Raw genomic sequence first — 19,579 nt, forward strand, 5'->3', positions numbered from 1 at the left:
ATTCTGCTTAGTTCAACTCATGCTTCTGTCATCTGTCTCTCAGAAGCATTCATTTGGTTTTGAATGACCTAAATAATTTCCATTGTTGCATAGGGGCTATCTAGACTGGGGATGGATAATACATTTTTTCAGCTTTAGTGGCCAGACAGATTCTGTTACAACTACTTACTTCTTTTGAAGTAGCTTGAAAGCAGTCACAGATAATACGTAATGAATGAGCATGATTGTGTCCCAATAAAACTTAACTTATGGGCACTGAAATTTGAATTTCATATTATTTTCATCTCATGAAATATTGCTTTTATTTTTTTCAATCATTAAAAATATAAAAACCACTCTTAGCTTACAGGCTGTACAAAAACAGGTGGTAAGCTAGTTTGCCCATATATACACATAGATAAACACAGAACCCTCTTGGTCATAATTCCTCCATATATAAAACCAAAGTAATTGTGATCAGCTTTCCCAACTTTTAGATGTTCAAAAAGCAAAATTTATTTTCACATGAGGAGTAATGTCTAATTCATGGGCCCAATCTTTTCCCTAACTTGCTCCAGTCCAACATACTACATAAAAAATCATGGCTAAACCAGTGCAAAAAGGCTATTGTACTACGTATCATCTGAGTCTCAGGCCATAGTGTATTAAGGATATGTTTATAAATTTCAAAGTTTCACTTTCAGAGATCACTATAATATACAAATTCCTATTATAATGTTAACTTTATTTACCAATGTTTATTTTATAAGATAACTAGAGCTGTTGCCTTTTTGTCATTAACACAAAAGAAGACATTTATCCAATCTTACTAAATCCCTGCCAACAGACATACTTGTTATAAAAGATGACAAAGATGGAAGCTTATCCCTCATCAACACAGAATCAATATAAATGTGACCCTCTTACACTATGTAAAACAGTGCATATTGCATGACAGTAGCTTTGAACAGAGCAGGGTGCATCTAAAACACAACAGAAAAATAATCTTTTGTGGGGTTTTTCCCTATTTCCTTCATTTAAAAAAATGAAGTCTTTCTGGAAAAAAAAATAAAGGCATATTAGCCCACCTTTCATATGACTTCAATTTATAACAGTTAAAAAATCCATAAATCTGTTAAAAGAAGATGGAAGTGCAAATACCAACCAGGGTGCTACTGCGCCTTTTCAGAGATATTTGCATATTTATCTGCTACTAAAACAGCTGATGAGTCAACTTTGCAACAAATCCTTAGTTCCAAGGAGACTTATTAATGGACACCTTTACAAAGAAACTAGGCATTCTCCCTAGGCTTTGTGAAATTGCCATTTTAAGTTTCATTTAAACAGTGAATCAGCGCTAACTCCTAAATAAAACACAAGACTTTAAATCAACAGCTAGGACAATTTTTGATACCTCCCTTTGCTAAACCATCACCAAGACCTACGATCTGACCTCCTAAGGATTGCCATCACTTCTGTCTTGGTTAGCACCTCCACCACTTTTCTAGACCAGCCATTGTCATCTCTCCTGGACTGAAATAGCCTCCTAGCAGCATCTACTCTGATCACTCTCCTCCACACTGTTCCTCACACTATAGACACTCTTCAAACCTCATCCTGTTTCTTCTTCAAGGAAGCCTTCCCTGACCTCCCTGAATAGATCAAGTTTCCCTGTTAGCATCATGTACCTCTCCTTTATAGGATGAGCTTATTAGAACTTGTAGATAATACTGATTTTATTTGCTTCTATGCTTCTGTGATTAGTATCTATTTTCTCCACTAGACTTTAAGTTTCACAGGGGCAGGATTGATGGATTCCCAATACTTGGCACAATCCTGGCATATAGCAGGAGTCTGATGACTTTGCTGACCACTAAATATGCTATAAGCCATTATAACATCATTTGGGTATATGTTGAGAAAATTCTTGTTGCCACTGAAAAGTCACCTGGTAATTATTTAACTGATAATTAATATAAGGTAGTGATAAACCTCAATTAGCCAAAAAGCCTGATTTACCAGAATAAAATCAGATGTAAAGCTACATCAATTTATAATACGTAAATATTATCTTAGGCATCTTGTGAACAGATTGGTTAAAAGTTTGTTTTTACCTTTAAAAAGTTAACTGAAAAAAGAGTTGTATTAAATAACACATCTTAGAAACATGCTGCTATGGTCTAAATATGTGTCCCCCCCAAATTCATATATTAAAACCTAACCCCCAAGGTTGATAGTATTAAGAGGTGGAGCCTTTGGGAATTGGACACTATGGCTCATGCCTATAGTCACAGCTACTCAGGAGGCTGAGGTGGGTAGATCACTTGAGTCTAGGAATTTGAGGCTTCAGTGAGCTATGATCATGCCATTGCACTCTAGCCTGGGCAACAGACTGAGGCTGTGTCTCTAAAACAGAAAAAGAGGTGGAGCCTTTGGGAGGTGATTAGTCATAAAAGCAGAATCACTGCGAATGGGATTAAAGCCCTCATAAAAGAGGCCCTAGAGAGCTGCCTGCTCTTCCACCATGTGAGGGCACATAGAAGGCACCATTTATGAGAAATAAGCCCTCACCAGACATCTTGATTTGAACTTCCCAACCTCCAGAACTGTGAGCGATAAATATCTGTTGATTATAAGTTACCCAGGCTAAGGTATTTTGTTACAGCAGCCTGAATGGACTAAGACACATGTATAAAAAAGAACACCAGAATGTACCAGATTCTTTCTGCCTCTCCTGAAATACATATGATTAACTCAGATCACTCTCCTGAGCTCCAGACCAGTATCTAACTGCCCACACTGTCACTCGCATGTCCCCAAAGCAGTTACAACTTGGTATTTTTAAATTCCCCCAAGTCATTCTTCCTTTTTGCATTACCCTGGTGGAATGTATCATTCCCCATGAATTTGCCTAAAGCAGGTATCCAGACGTTGTTGTTGACTGTCTCCTCTCCAAGTCAATCACCAAGGTCTGTTGACTTGTGTTCCTAAGAATATCTTGTTTGTTCTCTCCTTCTTCCCTCCTGCCTTTATTCTGGTCTTCCTCCAATCCATACCGTTACTAGGTTGATGTTTTGGGGAGAAAAATGTGACTCCCCTACCCGTTTCCCCCACCAATATTTCTCTGATTATCTCTGAACTCTTTAGCAATATATACAAGACCCACCAAGACCAGAACAAACCAACTACAAATCCAACATTAATTGACCCACTCTCCCACCCTTTCTTATTTAACTCATACTCATCCTTTAAGAGTGAGCTTAAGTACCATATCTTCCAGGATGCCTCCCTCTGGATTGGAAATCCCACCTATAGGCTCTCCTCTATCATAATGCTTCCAGTAATGTGCTGAAACCACCTGGAGCTGGATCATAAGCCAACTGTTAGCATCTCTTCCCACCTCCACAGTGACATCATGTTGGTTGCTAAAGGGACCAGAAACCTAAAAGCAGATGCAAAAAGAACACATGGACACAGGAAGGGGAACATCACACTCTGGGGCCTGTTGTGAGGTGGGGGGAGCGGGGAGGGATAGCTTTAGGAGATATACCTAACGCTAAATGACGAGTTAAGGGGTGCAGCACACCAGCATGGCACATGTATACATACGTAACTAACCTGCACATTATGCACATGTACCCTGAAACTTAAAGTATAATAATAATGAAATAAAATAATTATAAGTCTTAGAAAAAAAAAAAAGAAATCTTATCTGAACTGCCCTTATCTGACTAAAGTAGAGCATTAAAATAGTCAGCTGCCACAATTCCACCCTCACTTTTTCACCCCACTACCCCCATCTCCAGTTAGGGAGGCACTAACCTTGGGCACAGGGACATTCCAAAAAAAAAAAAAATTATGTAAACGAGTCTCATCAGAACTTTCCATCCTTTAAAGCCCTAAACATCTTCCTTTTGTTAAGCTGGTATACAAACCTTTACCTCTGGCTGTTCAGGGAGTTACCTATTGTTGAGTTACCACATATGTGTGAATAAACCTTGTCTTTTCTCCTGTTAATCTACCTATTGTCAGTTAATTTGAAGATCCCCAATCATTCAGACCTAAGTTGATGGAGCAAAAGTTTTTCCTCCACGGTGAGAGTATTTACACAATGGAAAGCTGTAAAGGCCACAAGCTACAAATTAGGCTTTCTTCTTCTGTGAAAGCCAGCGATAAAATATCTACCAGAATATCACTGCTTCTCATCCTGCACTCTAACTCTCCATGTTGCTGTCTGTGGCTCTTCAACCAGAATTTGTCTCTAAAGGTGATGAATCATTCATATTTATCTCTGTATTCTCAAAGCCTGATTTACCTAAACAAAACTGGATATAAATCAACATGTGCTGCATCAAGTCCTAACAAATAATGATCAACACAGGCATCTTCTGTAGAAGGCTGACACACAGTGGGAGTTCAAAGTCATTATTGAAGAGTGAACATAAGAAAGTTTAACAAATTATACAGAAAAATTATTTTTAAAACATTAAGCATCTACAGTAAAGTTTTTCCCTCTCCTGTTAAAAATTAATTCCCATGCCTAAATGTGTAGGGGGAAGTATACTGATGTCTGCAATTTACCTTGAAATGCATCAAAAAACTGTAAATAAGAATGAGCTAATGAATATACAGAGGGGTGGGAAGCTGATATGTGATAAAGCAAGGACAGGAAAATAAGATCTAAGTGGTGGATAAATAGGTATTTTCTGTAAAATTCTTCCAATTCTTTGAGGCACATCTGGAAATTTTCATAATAAAATGTTGGGGCAAAACTGAACTGTCATTTTTTTGCTCATGAGGTGTGCAAATAGTTTTTACCTTCATTAAAAACCTACTAAACTCTTTCAATATACCCAAGTTCTGGAAAAAAGATCATGCCTTTAGGATCCTGTGAGGAAACAGAGTGTTTTTTTGTTTGTTTTTTTTTAAGACTCACTCTGTTGTCCAGGCTGGAGTGCAGTGGCGCGATCTCGGCTCACTGCAAGCTCCACCTCCTGGGTTCACACCATTCTCCTGCCTCAGCCTCCCGAGTAGCTGGGACTACAGGCGCCCGCCACCACACCGGGCTAATTTTTTGTATTTTTAGTAGAGATGGGGTTTCACCATGTTAGCCAGGATGGTCTCGATCTCCTGACCTCGTGATCCACCTGCCTCGGCCTCCCAAAGTGCTGGGATTACAGGCATGAGCCATCGCGCCCGGCCGAGGAAACAAAGTTTTAAATACAACACTCAAACCTTCCCTTGACATCAAAGGGCATATCACAAGAATATAAATGGAGGCCCACAGAGCATATGTCTAAATATTAAGAAGTTTTATATCAAGCTAATGAATCTGTTAACCAAAACATGGTCTATCCTCCAAACTTGACAAATATACACCATTATAATAATAAGGAAGACTGGGCTCAAATTTAGAATGTTGGACTCCTAAGAAATCCCCATTTCTTTTTTCCCTACCCTGGCTCCATCTGATACCCAAAGGAGGCTTGTGGAGATGCCCACCCTTCCATGCCCTGTCCACAGTCCCCTGCACACAATCCATAGTTACCCCCATGCCTATAGACATACACAGCAGTAATATGCTCCATCTACCATAAGACAGAGCCATTGAAGAGGCCCATACAGGCCCTGGGAGCAAGCTTGGGGCCATCTCAGTAGGGATTTCAGGGACCCTGGGAACTGGAATATAGTCTAGAAGATGAGGTGAGGGGAAATGAGATGCAGACATGAGTTGGGCACCTCCCCTTCACCCCAAGAACTGAACCTGTGGGACAGGGCACAACTGGAAAAGGGCCCAATTAGGGCCCTCCAAAGTACAGGGGCTCCTCTTGTCTGGGTCTAAGGGCTGTACCGGCAATTCTATACAAACTATTTGGTAATCAAGATGGGGGAAATTAGGACCCAGGGGAATTTTTTCTTTTTAACTAAGATTAACATTTAATGTAAAAAAGTTAAATTAATTCATTAAACCAATATTCATTAAAGATCCGCCATTCTACAATTAGGGATACAGTGTTGAACAAGACAGACAAGGTCTCTAACCTCACAGAAATTACATTCTAGTGAGGAGAAACAAGTAAAAAACATATAAGTAAGATTATTTCAGATAATGGCAAATGTAAAACAGGCTAATGGGATGGAGAATGATGACAGAGCTTGGAGAACTATTTTAGGAAGGGTTGTCTGGGATGACCTCTCTGAAGAGGTGACCAATGAGCTGAACTGAGGAATATAAAAGTATCAGTCAGGTCAAGATGGGGGAAGGTGGGAGGGAGTGAGGAAGAGCACTCCAGGCAGAGTAATAGGGGACCTAAGGCAGTGGCGAGCCTGGCACTTTCAACGGGTGCCTGTGTGCATGTGCTCCATAAAGGAAAACATTCTTAATTATAATAAACACGTGCCCTAGCAAGAGCAGGGTCATGAGCTCTTTTAGTATGCAAATTATCTCAGTCTGTATCTAAACACATACATTCTGTACAAACTGACAGTTCTAGAATATCTTTTTTTTCTGAACATATAATTATTTGACTTTATTCTACCTATAAAATTGCCCAGTTTTTTTTAAGGTTAACTTAACTCTCCTCCTTCTACAGATCATTCTTTTTTAGACAGCAATTATCTAATCTGTAATTAACTCAACATTTTGCATCTCTGTTTCCCATAGCTAATTAATTTTTAATCATTTGAACACATTATATATCCACATGGGACAAAAAAATAAAGTTAAAGTAGAAATCTAAAGCCTTGAAGTTCTCAAGTAAACTCATTTTTAGTTTTCATGCACTCAAGATCCAGCTATCTCATATTAGAATGTAGGTAAGAATGAAGCTAAGGTCTTCGTTTGACTTCAGAATTTTGCTCTTATTCACAGCCACAAATGACTTTTAACCACCAGTATTAGGCTGTTTTTGCACTGCTATAAAAAATATCTTGGACTGGGTAATTTATAAAGAAAAGAGGTTTCGTTGGCTTACGGTTCCGCAGGCTGTGCAAGTATGGTGTCAGCATCTGATTGGCTTCTGGGAGGCCTCAAGATGGTTTTTTTTTTTTCCTTTTTGAGACAGAGTCTTCCTCTGCCACCTAGGCTGGAGTGCGGTAGCACAATCTTGGCTCACTGCAACCTCTGCCTCCTGGGCTCAAGCAATTCTCCTACCTTAACCTCCTGAGTAGCTGAGACTACAGGCGTGCACCACCCACGCCTGGCTAATTTTTGTATTTTTAGTGGAGATGGGGTTTCACCATGTTAGTGGCCAGGCTGGTATTGAACTCCTGACCTCAAGTGATCCACCTGCCTCTGCCTCCCAAAGCGTTGGGATTACAGGCGTGAGCCACCACACCTGGCCAGGAAGCTTTTTTACTCATGGTGAAAGGCAAAGGGTGACCTGGTGTTTCATATGGCAGAGCAGGAGCAAGAGGGAGGGGGAGGTGCCACACACTTATAAACAACTAGATCTCACAAGTACTCACTCATTGTCGCATACTATTGCAGGGACAGCACCAAGCCATGAGGGATCTGCCCGCATGACCCAAACACCTCCCATCAGGCCCCACCTCTAACAGCGGGGATTACATTTCTTTTTCTTTTTCTTTTTAACCGAGTCTCGCTCTGTCGCCCAGACTGGAGTGCAGTGGCTCAATCTTGGCTCACTGCCACCTCCACCTCCCAACTGTAAGTGATTCTCATGCCTCAGCCCCCTGAATAGCTGGGATTATCAACATGGGATGTAGGCAGGGGCAAATATTCAAATCATATCACCACCTCTTTTCAAACTCCCACAACCCACAAATTTGTTATTGGTCAGAAGAAGGTATTAAGGAATGTGTGGACAAATAAGAACAAAATCACTATAGCTTCTAAGAACAAAAAAGAAAATGGGTTTGAATAGTTATAAAATACATTGAAGATGTTTTATTAGACTTAATGAAAGCTGACTGCGATCATTTCATATTGTTATGAAGTTACAGTACCAGAACAATCAGTAGATAATTAGAAGCAAGTCCTGGTTTCTTACAACAGCTGTGCCACTGGCTGTGATCTTAAGCCAAAGAACCTTTCTATCCCTTCATCTTCGCAGTGGTTAAGAAAAAAAAGAAAAAGAAAAAAATGTTATAAGAGAAATCAGAAAGCACTTAGCATTCTGAAGGAAAAAAAAAACTAGTATATAAATCCAAGTAATAATTAGCTTATTTTTCTTACATTACAAATTAAGAAATGTAAATATGTCATAAATTAAATAACCCAAAACTGTCAGAATTTAAATTGGCTCTGTTCTAACTGAAAATAAAGGAGCATATAAACACCAAACAATGTATTAATCTTATACCCCTTTATAATAGCTCAAAAGAAAAATCAGGTAAGAAAGCTGACTTTTTGTTACTATGAGCACAAAATGCAACTCTAGCACTAATCAAGTGTGTAAGTTGAAAAACTGAAATTCTATTCATGTAAATTTCTTGTAATTTTTTCCAAATCCTAAATCCCACTCCCCCCTAATTATATGCTTAATACCATATACATGTATACACAGATACACACGTGCGCACACACACACACACAAATTAATCGCAAAGTTCTATGGTATACAAAATAGACTGACAATTTTCTGAACATAGTCTCTTCGGAATAATTATAAACAGAATGTAAAATGACTCCGCACTAAGAAGCACATCTACCATTGATGTAGAAACAGTATAATACTCTGTGAGCTAATGCCACAAAATGGCAGCAGACACTTCAAATACAGTATGAACCATTAGTTAAGTATCACTAGCAAAATCCAAGACCACAATGTATTTGTTCTACTCTGTTAGAGTATATAGACTTTTCATTTATTAAAGTTTAATTTGGAAAGTAGGAAAACATTCTTTTTCCATTATAGTAATATATTCTGACATAATGAACATAAGAAAGCTTAATTTACGTATCTAAAAATTTCAAGGTAAAGATTTTTAGGTTAAAAAAATTTTTAGCTCAAACATTTTTATTACATAGTTAAGTTCACAATAATATCTGATGTCCAAAAACCTTCTATTCTAGTAGGATTTATAAGTGCCACTTAAAGGAAGTTGAGGCCCAACATGTATCATTAACTAAGACCATATCATATTCAGGTGGCCTTCATGTAACCAATTTTGTTTTAAACAGGATCTGCTTTAAGTTGACGTACAATGCATTAAGCATCACTCACACAGAGATATTCAATTGTTTGTGTTACAGTTATAGAGTTATTACACTGAATATTCTACTATTCCAGTGTTTTTTAAATGTGTATTTTGCATCATATTACCTAATTTTTTTAAGTAGCCACTGTTTACTTTCAAGCTTTTTCATTTTCTCGCAAAATAATAACTCTTGGTCATCATAGGCCGCCAAATATCAAGCCTTAACCATCTGTCAACTGGCTTGAATTCAGCAGGCATGCTCCTGTAGTTTTGGTTCTAATTGTGTTTAATGCCGCACTAATTATTTCAATGGGGAATAATTTTGTACAGTCAAAGTTGACTCATTTTATAAACTGGAATCTCCTCAGCTATAAATTGGCAGGTCTCATCCTTCATTCCTCCTAAGCGTTGTGCCAAAGGGGAATAAGTATATGGTTGCTCTGTGACCAAATGTCATGTGCTGGGCAGAAACATTGATCCTGGCTATTAATCACTCTGCAAGCCCTCCCAGTAATCAAAGGGCACAGCTGCAATGATATATTACCAGTGTCAGAGCAGAAAGCCCTTTACAAGACTGCATGCCTACCAGCTGATGGCCAGTATGTACTACCGCTTGCACACTGGCCAGCCCAAAGTGCCCAGGCTAATTAATCATCACCTCTAACTGTTCATTCTATAGTTAAACACCTTTATGAGCTGAATTATAGGAGGATTCTTAGCCCCCTAATTACTTAGGTCTGGAAGCAAGGAACCTTCTCACCTGGATACAAAACCTGCCTATTACCTGTTTCAGACCCAATCTACCCTTTCATTCTCTTCTCCATAAAAGTTTGCTGACCTAGCAGTGAACTAGAGACCAAGAGAAAATTGGATGTTGTGGCTGATTTTGGTGTCGTTCACATCAAATGACTGACAGAAGAGCTACACAACATGAAATCATCTAAATTAGTAAGGTGAACTTTTAGAAATCTTACATGTGAATTTTACAATATGAGTCATAAAACATTGGTACAGGTAACTGTGAGGTACAGTTATTTAAGAACAAACCAGTTTTCAGAAGAAATACTAACAAAAGGTTTTACCAGTTATAATTCAATTACTGTTGGGATTTAATATACTGTCCTATTTGGTACAACTTTCTACCTCAGTAAGAACATTCATATGTTGGTCATTTTAATAAAACATTTTATATTTCATACTTGCTTTTGAAACTAATATCCTAACATTTCTAAGTTTTTTAAAGTATCCGGGATAAAAGAGTGAAGACTTTGGAGATTCTAAACAAATATTTGGATTAGCTTTAAATTTATATGTAAAATAATTTTCTCACTTTCAAAACAATGCTAATCCAAACAGAAAAGCAGGAACCATATATCAAGAGGACCTTAAAATTATTACTAAATACTCATACTATATAAAAAGTCTTGAATATAGCAACATTTTCTATTATGCCTAAGACACCAGAGGACTTCATAGCAAAAAACTGTCGATATTTTTAATAGTCAAATATGGAGAAATGTCTTCCTTAAAGAAATATATATAGAACCAGTACAATGGTATAACTCTTGAACATCACATTGAGATTGTAAAACTTGTTTTAATTTAAAAAAAATCCAGGATGTACAGTTGCCAAGTAAATTCAATACATTTCTTAACAGGGCACGCTCCAAGAGGTGAGGAGACATGTGTTGCTTCAGCCAGCATTATCATATCACATATTTAGGAACATGACAAAAAGAAATAATAATGGTTTTATTTCTGTAATACCAAAAGTGATTATTAGCCTGTACCTAGTTCAATATAAAAATTTTCTTTTTTTCTTTTTTTGATATGGGGTCTCACTCTGTCACCCAGGCTGGAGTGCAGTGGTGTGATCACGGCTCACTGCTGGCTAATTTTTTCTATTTTTTTTTAAGACAGGGTTCTCACTTTTTTGCCCAGGCTGGTCTTGTACTCCTGGGCTCAAGCGATCCTCCTGCCTTGGCCTCCCAAAGTTCAGGGATTATAGGTGTGAACCACCACAACCAGCCTCAATACACAATTTTTTAAAAGCTGGTTATGCTTATACTTGGTTTTAGAACCATAAACCAAACCAATCTAGTATCTTTAAAGCAGACTTGACTAACAATTAGGTAACTATCTATTTTGGTTATTTGTATTTCTAAATTATTAGAATTCTAGGATTAAAATAGGTAGCAGTAGAATTAAAAGGCAATATAGCCATTAAAACACCTAACTAGAAGGACTAAAATGAAGAAAGGGACAATACAAATGAAGAAAGGTGAAAATGCAAAGCAACTGTTATTTTCATTGCTGGTGGGCATGCAAAATGGTATAGCTATTGCGGAAAACATTTTGGGAGTTTCTGATAAAAACATGTATCATAGGATACAGCAATTCCACTCCATAGAGATTTGAAAACATGGCCTTCAAAAAGTCTTGTACACCAACACTTACAGTAGTTTTATTCCTATTAGTCAAAACTGAAAAGAATTAAAACATCCATCATTAGTGAGTAGAAAAATATGTTGTGATACATCCATACAACAGAACACTACTCAACAATAAAGGAAGGAACTACAGAGGTATGAAACAACATGGATGAATTGTAAAAGCATCATGCTAAGTATAAGAAGCCAGATTTCTCTGGCTACATATTGTATAATACTATTGATATGACCTTCTGGAAAAGGCAAAACTACAGGAGCAGAAATCAGATAAGTGGTTGCCAGGGGCTGGGTGTGGAGGCAGGGTACTGATGGCAAAGGAGCACAAGGGAACTTTTTGGGGTGCTGGAAATGTTCTATATCTTATCATGACTGTGCAAGTGGTTACCCAGCTGCATATAGCTACCAAAACTCATCACATTGTTCACTTTTAAAGGATGAATTTTATTGTATGTAAATTATACCTGATAAACCTGATCTAAAAACAAAAAGGACAGTGAGAAAAGATCTTGAGTAAAAGAAGTTGACTCATTTCTATATATCTCACATACATTTATTTTGGAGCCACTGACCTGTGTATCCCAAACACATTAATAATTTAGTCTAATGAACAAAAAAACTTTTATTTGAAAAATAAGATTTTGCATTTTAAGAACCATAAATTCTAACTCAGATATAAATGGAAAACTATGAAACATCAAAATATCTTAAAAAGAAGATTACTTTTCTTAATATTTTATCATTTATAGAGCTGAAAAAATTATCTGATATAAATTATCTAATCTGAAAATAAGAGTGAGTGAGCTGTTCCAAGATCTACAGAAATAAAGGCACTTTAGTTCAATTAAATGATTTCCCTGCAGGCAATGTCTTTTCAATCTGAGCTAATGACATCATTTATAAGGAGGATGGTCCATTTAACTAAAAGGATCTTTTACAAGGCAGACAGACAGAAGGCAATCTAAGAATGTTTGCAAGGACTTTTCATATTTCAAAATTATAATGGTGAAAGGCCTACATAAAATTCTTAAAGTTAGATATTAATCAATACATTGCAGAAATAATTTCATAAAAAGAATGTAATAAAGCTCTCAGGAAGTTTTCTTCATGATTTTTCCCTTTAAGAAACGAATTCTTTTCTAATGGCAATTAGGCTACTCCAGACTAGCAGTGACATAGTGTTTGCTAGAAATCAGGGCCTTATTTCTGAAGTGCTAAACTTCCTTACCTACCTGCTGTTTCTAGGCTAATGCTTCCCTAGTCTGACAGACTTACTTTTACCTGACTTGACCCTTCTGCAAGTGAAACAGGCAAAAGCACAATTGCCAACTATCCTTTACCAAACTATGTTGACCAGAAATTATACTGCTAATTCTCCAAAATGAGAAAAGGTTCAGGAATCCTCCAGGGGGCCCTTTCCTTAACCCTATGCTCTAGAATCAGAAATTGAAAATCTTAACTGAAGTATCCTTACAGAAGAATTCCTCACAGCTCAATATCCATACAAGAGAAGCCACTTCACCACCACAGTTTGTGGAAGGACTGATAACTCAAATTGTACAGTAGATTAAACCACACCAAATTCTCTAGGAAAGGTTGCCTTTTCATAAGTCTAAGTTTTAAAATTTTTTTCTATTAAACAATATAAATAGTAATTAGTATTTTGTGTGACCTGGCAAGGAAGTTAGACCAGTAAGGGCAAGACATGGAAAGTCTTAATCCCAAATAAGAGGTACATAATCTAAGTTATAAAAGCACCACCAACAGGCTGTATGACTTTGGACAAGTCAATTAACATATCAGTACTACAGTTTCCTCATCTGTAAAATAATCTCTGAAACCACTTTAAACTCTCACAGTCGATGATCCTCTCATATATCAGAAAAACTGCATTTATAAAAGCAGATGAATGAAATATAGAGCGATTACAAATGACTCAAGTTTTACACTTGCTAATATTGACAGCCTCTGTAAAGCTGCAAGATTCAGGCTTAAAATACAATTAATTAGCCTGGGCTGTCAGGAAATGTGCCTACCTAGGAAATTAAAGCCCAAAAGAAATCAAAGCCAGAGTAAGGAGTTGGTTAAGTATCTACAGAAATTCTGATATATTAGCTAAAGCTGCTTCATCCAATCCTTCTATTTGGAAATGGTCATAACAAATTAAAAGCAAACAAGAAAATTGAGCTGCTATCCCCAGCAGGAGCCCAATTTTTTTTAAGTTGATACTTTTTCTCAGGAAATAGTGTATCTTCTTTTATATTTTTAAATATGAGATGTTAGTAACATTCGAATTTTCATTTATAAAAATTACAAAGCCAATATATTTCACCTATAATAATTTGTCTCAGTAATCCTAGGGGGAGGAAAAAGTGGCTAAAGGAATAGACTAGGGTAGACACCCTGATAGCAATAACTTAAGCATGCCCTGAGCATACGCTGAGAATGACCCCGTATGGCAGATATACCTGAATGTGTGTTCCAAGCTAGGGAATCTGGGAGTGACCAATCCAAAGATTTCTTCCTTGTCTATAAGGAACATCTGAGCCCCTGGCCCATCCCATGGAACATGGATTGAGGCCCTGAGTTTTGGGTTGGATAAAAGTTGCCAGGTGGAGGTCATTCAGGGGAGGTTGTTAAATAAAAATGCTATATAAACTGCATGCTGTTTGCAAGTGGTTGCAGTTTTCCTGCCCAGCCCACCATCACTGGGCCATGCAATTATCTTGTCCAGCCTGCTGCCACTGGACTGTAGGAAGGTGGATATCTTGTCTAGCCCACCACCATTAGATTGTAAAAAGGTGGATATCTTGTCCAACCCCCTGCCACTGGACTGTAAGAAGGCAGATATCTTGTCCAGCCCACCACCACTGGACTACAGGAAGTTGGATATCTTGTACAGCCCGCAGCACTGGACTGTAGGAAGGTGGATATCTTGTCCAGCCCACCACCACTGGACTGCAAGGAAGGTGGATATCTTGTCCAGCCAGCCACCACTGGATTCTCTCCCCTGTACGTATATAAGTTCCTAATAAAACCCCATGTCTCGTTTGCTGGCTCTGGGTCTCTTCTTCAGCCTCTTGAACCTGGTGCCTTCCCTATTGAGGTTAATAGAGGTTTGGCACAACACAGACAAAACAATGTTGATCATAAGTGGACACATGTTTGAGAACCAATTAAAGAGATTTTACTAATAAACAGAAAATGTCCTAAAAGTTCAAAAGAGAAGAGTCACAGAAATTCACTGTTACTCTTGCTACACAGTATTTGCTTCAGTTTATGCCATCAAATTCCTCATTCTTTGAAATTCTAGCCAAGTTCCTTATCACTTGCAATAGGTAAACTTCAGTAGTTATATACAACCAAAGAGGAAGAATGTGAAAGATCCAGATGTTGGTCCTTTCCAGTAAATAATTTATTCATCTGGATGAACATACTAAGTGTTATCACTTTTTCCTACCAGAAAGCTCCAAGCTTTTGAATAAGATCAAATTATCTAAATACTACTTATTTTAATCTTATCGTAGATCATAGGATGAATAAACTTCTAAGTGGATTTTTGAATTTTTCTTCTTATTAGTAAGAACCTCATTTTGATAACTTTAGAAGCAGTTAATTAAATGTAATCAACATTTATTAGCAAGATACGATTCTCAGCACTGTAAGTGGAACAAAATTTTAGCCACCTCAAATCCATTTTGGAAAAATATGAGGTATAATATAAACAATAGCATCATTTAAGCCCCTATGTTATATTTAGATTTACTGGGCAACAACCTCATGATCCAGATACAGTCTTATAAAATGATAAGGGAAGCAGGCACCTATGAAGAGTACTGTTTGAGAAACTTAGTAAGTCACTTAACTCTTGAAAAAATAAAATCTCTCCCACTACCTGGTGATTCATACTTAATACATCATTAGTGGTTGTTAGGGGTTATTTAGGAATGGCTCCTTGATAAGTGCAAATAGCAGTGCATCAATTACAGTGGACCCCTGAACAACACAGGTTTGAACTGCACGAGTCCACTTATCCATGGATTTTTTCAACAAATATATTGGAAAATTTTTTAGAGATCTGTGACAATTTGAAAAAACTCAGAGATGACCTGCATGGCCTAGAAATATGGAAACAAGAAAAAGGTATGTCATTAATGCATAAAATATATGTAAATACTAGTCTATTTTATCATTTACCACCATAAAACATACAAATATCTATTATAAAAAGTTAGTATTTATCCAAACTTACGCACCACAGATCATACATGATGCTACGAAAAGTCAACACAAATGTAAACAAATGATAATGTAGTATTAAATCATAACTGCATAAAATTAACTGTAGTATATCCTGTCCTTTGGTAATAACATCATAGCCATCTCCTGTTGCTGTTGGGGTGAGCTTGAGTGTTACGAAAATCTGCTTAAAACGCTATGTGACACTAATTGACACTAATCATCTCCATGTGAGTAGTTCACCTCTCCAGTAAATTGCATATCGCAGTAAAAAGTGATCTCTTGTGGGTCTCACATATTTTTTACCATGTTTAGTGCAATACTGAAAACCTTGAATAACACCATGGGACCCATACAAAGTGCCACTGGTGATGCTAACAGTACCTCTGAAAAGCAGAGAAAATTCATGACATTACAAGGAAAAGTTGGGTTGCTTGATATGTACCATAGATTGAGTTCTGCAGCTGTGGCTGCCTGCCATTTCGGACAGATAATCGATTGCATAAATAGATGATATCAACTTGTGGCACCAATAAATACAGTACTGTAAATGTATTTTCTCATTAATTTTCTTAATAACATTTCTCTAGCTTATTCTATTATAAGAATGCAGTATATAATACATATACAAAATATGTGTTAATCAACTGTTTATGTTGTTGGTAAGACTTATGGTCAACAACAGGCTATTAGTAGTTAGTTTTGGGGGAGTCAAAAGTTATATGTGGATTTTCAAAAGCACAGGGGGTTGACATCCCTAAACCCTCACATTGTTCATGAGTCAACTGTATATCCCTTACTCCTTTACCATGAGCAGAGCACAAAACATTTGGGCAAATGGTCATAATAGGTTAAGATTTGGTGGGAGAAAAGTAGAGGAGAAATCTGGAGGAGATAAAGAAAATAGGGCATCTTCATCCATGAATCAGAAGTGTTGGACTTGACTCTAGTCCCTAATTCCTGGATGGTACTTCTGGACCCACCGGGGATTAGGGGACCTCGCTGCCTTGAAGGAAAGGACACAGTCCTGGCTGCTTTGCCACTGGCTAATTGTAGAGCCCCAGGGCCTCGAGCTAAAATAGGCAGTAGCCATGGGGTGGTTACAGCAGATCTTGGGCAAGACCCAGTGCTGTGCTGGCTTCAGGTCTTACCCCGTGCAGTCATAGTGGTGGCCGCCACGGGGGTGCCTGTGTTACTCCACCCCCCAGCTTTAGGGGGCTCAGAACAGAAAGAGAGACTCTAAGTTTGGGAGAAATTAAGGGAAGGAAACAGGAGTCTCTGCCTGGTAATCCAGAGAATTCTCCCGGATCTTGTCCAAGACTGTCAAGGTGGCACCTCTATAGCATTACTTGGCTAGGGGTGCTCCCTAAAGCAGATACAGCTTAGATCACAACACTCAAGTCCTTTAAAATATCTGAAAGTCTTCCCAAGAAGGATGGGTATAAATAAGCCCAAACAGTGAAGACTACAACAAATGGCCAGATACTGAAGAACATCTACTAGCACCAACACCATCCAGGAAAACATGACTTCACCAAATGAATTAAATAAGGTGCCAGGGACCAATCCTGGAGAAACACAGTTATGTGACCTTTCAGACAGAAAATTCAAAATAGCTGTGTTGAAAACACTCAAAGAAATTCAAGATAACACAGAGAAGGAATTCTGAATTCTATTATATAAATTTAACAAAAAGATTGAAATAATGAAAAAGAACCAAGCAGAAGTTCTGGAGCTGAAAAATGCAACTGGCATACTGAAGAATGCAATTGGCATACTGAAGAATGCATCAGAGTCCTTTAACAGCAGAATTGATCAAGCAGAAGAAAGAATTAGTGAGCTTGAAGACAGGCTATTTGAAAATATACAGTCAGAGGAGACAAAAGAAAAAAGAATAATAATAATAACAGAGAACTTCCAACTCCTAAAGAAAGATATCAATATCCAAGTACAAGAAGGTTATAGAACACTAAGCAGATTTAACCCAAAGGTTAAAGCATTTAATAGTCAAACTCCCAAAGACCAAGGATAAAGAAAGGACTTTAAAAACAGCAAGAAAAAAGAAACAAATAGCATACAATGAAGCTCCAATACATCTGGCAGCAGACTTTTCAGTGGAAACCTTATAGGCCAGGAGAGAGTGGCATGACATGTTTAAAGTACCAAAGGAAAAAAACTAACCTAGAATACTAGATTTGGTGGAAATAAACTTCAAATATGAAGGAGAAACCAAAAAAGAACCAAGCAGAAGTTCTGGAGCTGAAAAATGCAATTGGCATACTGAAGAAGGCATCAGAGTCCTTTAAATAGGAGAATTGGTCAAGCAGAAGAAAGCTGAGGAATTTCATCAATACCAGACCTGTCCTACAAGAAATGCAACCGGAAGTACTTCAATCAGAAAGAAAAGGACATTAATGAGCAATAAGTAATCACCTGAAGGTACAAAACTCACTAGTCACAGTAAGTACACAGAAAAACACAGAATAGTATCACACTGTAACTGTGGTGTATAAACTACTCTTATCCTAAGTAAAAAGACTAAATGATGAACCAATCAAAAATAACTACTTTTCAAGACACAGTCAATACAATAAGATATAAATAAAAACAACAAAAACTTAAAACATGTTTTTGATGAAGTTAAGCTGTAGAGTGTTTAACAGTTTGCTTTTTGCTTGGTTGTTTGCTTATTCAAATAGTGTTGTTTTTATTAGGTTAAAATAATGGGTTATAAGATAGTATTTGCAAGCCTCACAGTAACTTCAAACCAAAAAACATACAACGGACACACAAGACATAAAAAGCAAGAGACTAAATCATAACACCAGAGAAAATTACCTTCACTAGAGGAAGACAAGAAAGGAAACAAAGGAAGAAAGGAAGGGAAGGAAAAAGGGGAGGGGAAAAGAGGAGGGGAGGGGCGGGACAGGGGCAGGGACAGGGCAAGGCAAGGCAGGGCAGGGCAAGGCAAGGCAAGGCAAGACAAGGCAAGGCAAGGCAAGGCAAGGCAAGGCAAGACAACACCAGACCACAAAACAACCAGAAAATAAGTAACAAAATGGCAGGTATTAGTCCTTACTTATCAATAATACCATTGAATGTAAATGGATTAAACTCTTCAATCAAAAGACACAGACGGGCTGAATGGAAGAAAAAAAAAACCCCATTGATCTGTTGCCTTACAGGAAACACATTTCACCTATAAGCACACATAGACTAAAATCAAAGTGATAAAAAAAGATATTTCATGCCAATGGAAACCAAAAAAGAGCAGGAATTGCTATACTTAGACAAAATAGATTTCAAGACAAAAACAATAAGAAGAGATAAAGAAGGTCACTATATAATGATAAAGGAGTCAATTCAGCAAGAGGATTTAGCAATTTTAAATATATATGCACCCAACACTAGAACACCCAGATATATAAGGAAAATATTATCAGAGCTAAAGAAAGAGATAGGCCCTGATACAATAATAGCTGGAGACTTCAATACCCCACTTTCAGCATCACTCACATCTTCCAGACAGAAAATCAACAAAGAAACATCAGGCTTAATCTGCACTATAGACCAAATGGATCTAACAGATATCTACAAAACATTTCATCCAAGAGCTGCAGAATACGCATTCTTTTCTTCAGCACATGGATCATTCTCAAGAATAGACCATATGTCAGGTCACAAAACAAGTCTTAAAACATTCAAAAAAACAGGCGGTGGCTCACGCCTGTAATCCCAGCACTTTGGGAGGC

At 37.5% G+C, this 19,579-nt stretch overlaps 1 protein-coding gene across 3 annotated transcripts in view, besides 2 other annotated features; it reads right to left on the minus strand.

Moving 5' to 3' along the window:
* Window positions 1-19,579, minus strand: part of SKAP2 (src kinase associated phosphoprotein 2) — a 209,821-nt gene that overhangs the window by 125,535 nt on the left and 64,707 nt on the right. The gene's annotated exons all lie outside the window — the stretch shown is intronic.
* Window positions 3,710-4,374: an enhancer, noted in NCBI's record as "OCT4-NANOG hESC enhancer chr7:26823633-26824297 (GRCh37/hg19 assembly coordinates)". NCBI's record gives its function as "activates a minimal SCP1, AML or CMV promoter by ChIP-STARR-seq in naive and primed H9 embryonic stem cells {active_cell/tissue: H9 hESC(naive and primed)}" and the evidence as "EXISTENCE:reporter gene assay evidence [ECO:0000049][PMID:30033119]".
* Window positions 3,906-4,200: a silencer, noted in NCBI's record as "tiled region #1131; K562 Repressive non-DNase unmatched - State 22:ReprW". NCBI's record gives its function as "represses a minimal TATA promoter and a strong SV40 promoter by Sharpr-MPRA in K562 cells {active_cell/tissue: K562}" and the evidence as "EXISTENCE:reporter gene assay evidence [ECO:0000049][PMID:27701403]".

The sequence above is a fragment of the Homo sapiens genome, chromosome 7 (genome assembly GCF_000001405.40).
Source record: "Homo sapiens chromosome 7, GRCh38.p14 Primary Assembly".
Classification (NCBI taxonomy): Eukaryota; Metazoa; Chordata; class Mammalia; order Primates; family Hominidae; genus Homo; species Homo sapiens.